General features: G+C 42.7%; 2 annotated features.

The window, feature by feature from the left end:
* Window positions 558–758: a silencer, noted in NCBI's record as "peak7018 fragment used in MPRA reporter construct". NCBI's record gives its function as "represses an SCP1 promoter by STARR-seq MPRAs in K562 erythroleukemia cells {active_cell/tissue: K562}" and the evidence as "EXISTENCE:reporter gene assay evidence [ECO:0000049][PMID:32103011]".
* Window positions 4,131–4,631: an enhancer, noted in NCBI's record as "NANOG-H3K4me1 hESC enhancer chr8:53512288-53512788 (GRCh37/hg19 assembly coordinates)". NCBI's record gives its function as "activates a minimal SCP1, AML or CMV promoter by ChIP-STARR-seq in naive H9 embryonic stem cells {active_cell/tissue: H9 hESC(naive)}" and the evidence as "EXISTENCE:reporter gene assay evidence [ECO:0000049][PMID:30033119]".

Here is a 5,880-nt window from a genome sequence, read left to right on the forward strand (position 1 = left end):
AATAAATGACTCTGAGGATTGTCACTGGCATGATATATGAATGCAGAGTAATTTTACTGAAATAATTAGTAATGGAACACTTCTATTGTTAGCATTGTTAAATGACTTTGGAGGCAATGTGCTAATTATAAAAAAAGATAAAGACACACTAAATGTGTGGCCTGTGCTTACATAACAGAGAAATATGCAGGGCTATGCCGTGGCAATAACTCACCATCTTTGCCAACACCATTCTAAGCACTTTACATATGCTAACAACTTTAATCCTCCCAGCTGTCCTTCAAGTTGTTAATACTAACACTATCACCATTTTCATTGTATAGATGAAGAAATGAATCATGCAGCAGGCCACTGGTCCAAGGTCAGAGCTGATTAAGTGGCAGAGTTGGAATTTGAACTGGATAGTCTGCTCTAGATATCGTGTTCTTAACTCTCACCTAGTAACTTGTTAGTTTCCTCACTCTACATTCATTTATTCACTGAACATAGTCATCAAAACCAAATCAAATTTCACCAGTTTTGCACATCGGATGTTTTTTTTTTTTTTTCTGACCTGTTTTAGGATGGTACTTGAGATATTTTTATTAATTTGGCTTTCCTTGTCTACAGAAAGAACATTTGCATCTCTGCAAAATTTGCAATTAGTTCCTTGGCTTGGCTGCAAGCATTTTCACATAACTGCTAAGATAATAAACAACTCCTACTTTTCAACAGCAGAGTTATCTGTTAGAATGCAATAGCCACAAAAGGGCCAGAATTTCAAATGAACAGTGATAATCTAAGAAGCCATACTCCCCTGCAATAGCACGATTCCACATGCACGTTCTCAGTGGTCATTCTGACTAGTCCTCTGTGTCATCAGGGGACACTCAAGCCCCTTCTACTCTAAGTCATCATGCTCTCCAGGCTGTGGGCAATCCAGTCACATTGGACAATACAGTGTTTAGTGAGTAGCTTTCCTCAGATTTAGTCCCACCATGAGATGTTTATAAGGTCACATTTATTTATGGAATAATTTATTAATTTAAGGCAACTTAAACATTTTTGTCTTAAGTGTATGTTAATTTTATCATGGTTCATATGCAATGTAGGACATACATAAAACAAACATTCCTTCACTGTTTTCAACATTAGTATTTCCACATGCAGCCCTCTTCAGCAATGCAGAAGGAGCATGCCCCAGCTTCGCTGTCATCTGATATGAGGACTAACTTGAACTTTCTAGGACACTTTTCTGGGTTGCTACCAATGGCCATTGCAAGCTGGAATCAGTAGTAATGGACAATAGACCACCTTTGTTTTCCAGACCTCTTTTGGGAGGTGGCAGTGAGTTTAGAAGGTAAAATCTATGAGAAAGCTGAGCCTGAGAGGAGGCCCTAAGATGGAATTTCTAAAGATAGAGAGCAAATGAGGCAGCCAGGGACAGTCTCACCAGAGATGCTGCTCAATATCTGGCTGAGAAGAGCATAAACCACTTAAGTCAGGTAGAAAGGCCTGAAAGCATGGGTACTTTAAGTTTTGATGAACTTGGTGCTCACTAAAAAGCAGTTCCCAAAAACTCTTTGATACCTATGATCTAACAATGTATACAGCACAGATTAGTCCAAGTTTGATGAGATTGTCAAATATTATTGAATTTACTATGATAGCTGATTATATTTTTTCTGTCCAAATTAAGGTCCAGTGCTCTGAGATTTCCCGCCAGCAGTAGCGTATGACGTAACTGTAGTGTTTGTCTCTCAGGTAGCTCAAAAACACCGTTAAGTACAGAGCTGAGATGCACACATTAGGGGGCACAAAAAAAAAATGGTTGTCCAGGCACGGTGGCTCACGCCTGTAATTCCAGCATTTTGGGAGGCCGAGGTGGGTGGATCACATGAGGTCAGGAGTTTGAGACCAGCCTGACCAACATGGTGAAACCCTGTCTCTACTAAAACTACAAAAATCATCCGGGCATGGTGGCGCACACGTAATCTCAGCTACTCAGGATGCTGAGGCAGGAGAATAGCTTGAAGCGGGGAGGCGGAGGTTGCAGTGAGTTGGGATTGTGCCATTGCACTCCAGCCTGGGCAACAAGAGCTAAACTCCATCTCAAAAAATAAACAAATAAATAAATAAATAAATAAATAAATAAATAAATAAATAAAATGAAATAAATGGTTGATGAAAGGCAAGCTTAAATTGAGATGGAGCAGAGACCCCTCTTAGTGGCCTAGCAGGCCCTCTAAGCATGAAAATAAAAGAAAATCCCGAGTTTCTTTCAAGGAAAGTTCCAGGCACCTAGTTGGCCTTGAGAAGAAAACGAGCAGCCTGATAAGCAAGAAGGTAACAGTAGCTTAAAACAACAGCCAGGAAGGTTAGAGTCACGAGCTGTTTGGTTCCCTATGGAAACTAAAGATAACATCTTAACATATGTCCCTGAGTTGTTTTTCAGAAATCAAATGGAAAATCCTGTCTGCTGGCAGGTAGACCTCAGATGCAGGGAAATTGAGGACTGAATTCTGACCACTGTTCTTCGTTCTAAATTTCTTTGTGAGGGACCTAGACGAAGTCATGCCCACAGGCCGGAGCTCAACATTCCTTTCTACTGACCCCAGGATTTTAGACAAAGCTTGACAAACTTCAAATTGGAAAATATTTGAATCCACCTATGACTTGTGGGCCCTCTCCTTAAGATGTCCCACCTTTTTACACCAAAAGAATATATAGCCTCCATGTATTGATTTATGACAGCCTGTAACATCTGCCTCCTACTTCGAAAACTCTTACATGTGCCCAGGCACAGTGGCTCATGCCTGTAATCCTAGCATTTTGGGAGGCCGAGGCAAGTAGATCACTTGAAGCCAGGAGTTCAAGACCAGCCTGGCCAACATGCAGAAACATCATCTCTACTAAAAATACAAAAATTAGCCAGGCGTGGTGGCACACACCATAATCCCAGCTACTCGAGTGGCTGAGACACGAGAATTGCTTGAACCCAGGAGGTGGAGTTTGCAGTGAGCCAAAATGGTACCACTGCACTCCAGCCTAGGCACTGTCTCAAAAGAAAAAAAAAAAGCCTCTTATGTGTAGGCCATCTGGGAGTTTGAAGCTTAAGCATTTGCTGCCTGATTCTCCTCATGTGGTGCACTTTAATAAATGTCTCACTTTCTCTTGCTGTAAATCCTGATGTCAGTGTTTGACTTTGCTGCACCAAGCAAGTGGACCCAAGTTCAGTTCGGTAACAGAATCTGTACGTAGTACATATTGATCAAAAGTTTTAAAATCAAAAAAGGAAAGAAGACTAAACATTTTGAAATAATGCCTTAGATGCTATGTAAAAGTTGAATTTTGTGGCCAGACGTGGGTAGCTCACACCTCTAATCCTGAAAGAGGCAGGAGCAGCCAAATGCCGGCCAGGTCATTGTGCACAGGGGGTTTGCCTAAACATGCCCATGGTAAAAAATTCCATCCCTTAACACATGCACAAGTAAGAGAAATAAATCGATGTGGAGTGGCTCAGACTAAGGGACCACCTGTGCACTGAAAGAATGGGTTGGAGCCACCAGGAATTCACACCTTATACTAGGGAGGAGCCTGGCCTCTTCAGATGGTGTGTGATGGTCTGGTATTCCATTTCTGAGGTGGAAAAGCTGTGTGCAGGACCCCTCTTTTTGTTGAGAGCTTTCCTTTTGCTTAATAAATTCTGCCCTCCTGACCTTTCAATGTGTCTGTGTGCCTAATTTTTCCTGGTCATGGGACAAGAAACTGGATTTTAGCTGAACTAAGGAGCAAAAAATCCTGATTCATTTTGGCAGCCCGTACAAGGACATGAGGAAGGGTGAGTAAAATGTGGACATCCTCAGATTTTTTTCTGAGGAGAGGGGAATCTGCCCCCCACCCCCACCTCACGTTGCTCTCAGGGGTCAGGAATGTTAGCCTTGGTCCAACCCAGTCTTTTATGTGGCATTTTCCTTCTTTTTCAGGATGGTAATAGCACCTATTTTTTCTTTTACAAATTATGGGTCCCCCACTCCCACGGCTGCCCCCCTTTCCTCCCAGCTGGGGCACATGGCCATGTCTACTGCATGTGTGTGCTGTGTCCAATGGCCATGCAGGGCAGGAATGAGCCTCAGCCACTGCCCAGGCCCCAAGGTGGCCTCAGGGGCCTGGGCCCATGTGGCCGGCTGGCCAGTGTCCCCTGCCACACATCCACAGAGTCTTCACCTTCCCTGGCTGAGGGGTCCAGCTTGGTTCAACAGCAATTAAAAGTTTCTCTCCCTGTTGGAGAAACTCATTTGCATAAGAATAAGATGTTTCTTCCCCAGGCATCTTTTTCTTTTATCCACCCCGTCAGCAGTTAACACAGCGCTGCACTTAAGCTGTTTTTTCTTTTCTTGTCTCTACCCTGTCAGCAGTTAACACAGCTCTGTACTTAAGCTGTTGTTGTTGTTGTTTTCTCCACCAGATCAGGAGTTAGTGGGTTGGTGTGAAAGTAGTTGCGGTTTTTGCCATTACTTAGAATAGCTGGGACCATGATTGCATTTGCAACAACCTCATCACACAGCCCTGCAAGGAGAGGGGGCTTCTCTATGCCAGAGGTTTTTTTGTTTTTTTTTTTCCTTTTGGAAGGCATCTTATTAGACCAGGACCCCAGTTCACAGGAAACCCTTTATCTCTCCCTTGTTGGAGGAGGACTCAATTCCACAGCTTCATCTTAGCATTTGGCTTATGATAAGGAGTCTGTGCAACCCCCGAGACACATTTTTGTCCCAAACTCAATTCCAAGCTTCAGAACTCAAAGGCTCCTGACAGCAGTGGGGACAGGGCATATGTGGGTAACAGCAAATAATCCAACTCCCTAGCCTCCCTTGTTAACATGAATGAAAGTCGCATTGGCATCCACGGGGTGGCACCCTGTCAAGGTCACTGGGACTCGGGGATATAAGCACATAAGGTTATATCCTGCCTCTATCAGGATATAAGCACAGAAGAAAGAAAGAGGGATGCCTTTTCTACCTCTCCCTCACATACCCCAGGTATTTTCTGGGAAGAGACAGGAACTTGGGACTCTTTGCTCCCCTCTTTCTGGATGAGTAACCAATTCATTTTCAGTCTGTACCCCTTTCGATGACTCATGAACCCCTGGGGCTCCTTAAAAAAAAAACCAGAATGCCTTCTTTTTTCCTTTTTCTTCCTCTGTTCTCTCTTCACAGAGGGGTAATTGTATCCCCATACTACAGAACACTCCACTCGGATACATCCTCCAAACTGAGAAAAGTTAATTTCCCAAACTTTAAACTGGTTGTCTTAGAACTGAGCTCGGAGAAAGGGAACCCATAAGTCTGACATGCTGGCAAAAAGGTAAAAGTTTTTTTGCCAGTCAGAATTTTGGCTTCCCTCTCCCTGTGCCAATCAGTAAAAGAAATGAGAAGGATCAGTGTTTATATTCTCTGTAAACTTTTGTTCAATGAAAAAGTATTTATTAGGTTGGTCTTAAGCTGTGACAAATCTGGTGTGCTTTGCCTGTCTTAATTGAGACTTGTTGGTTTCACTTGTGAGGTTACTTGTGCTAAAATTCAAAAGCCAGAAATATTGGCCACTTGGCATGGCTAAAGTCAGGTAATACAAGATTTAAAAGGACTTTCTTAAAGAGTGCTCAGCTTAATTAGAAGTGGATATCCAAGCTATAAGTATATTTAAAAGGCCTGTATGTTTTTCTCTTCATGGATCTTGTTTTCCTGAAAAAGTTTTTTTTCTCAGTTGACTGAATTATTTTTCTCCATTTTGTCTTGCCACTCTTGGTGCATGCATGTGAGGCCCTAAGATAACTTCTAAGAGCATGGGACTTCTTAGAAAAACAGAGACAGTGCCACTGACCCTGTTTGGGGGAGAAACCTC

This window comes from Homo sapiens, chromosome 8 (genome assembly GCF_000001405.40).
Source record: "Homo sapiens chromosome 8, GRCh38.p14 Primary Assembly".
NCBI lineage: Eukaryota > Metazoa > Chordata > Mammalia > Primates > Hominidae > Homo > Homo sapiens.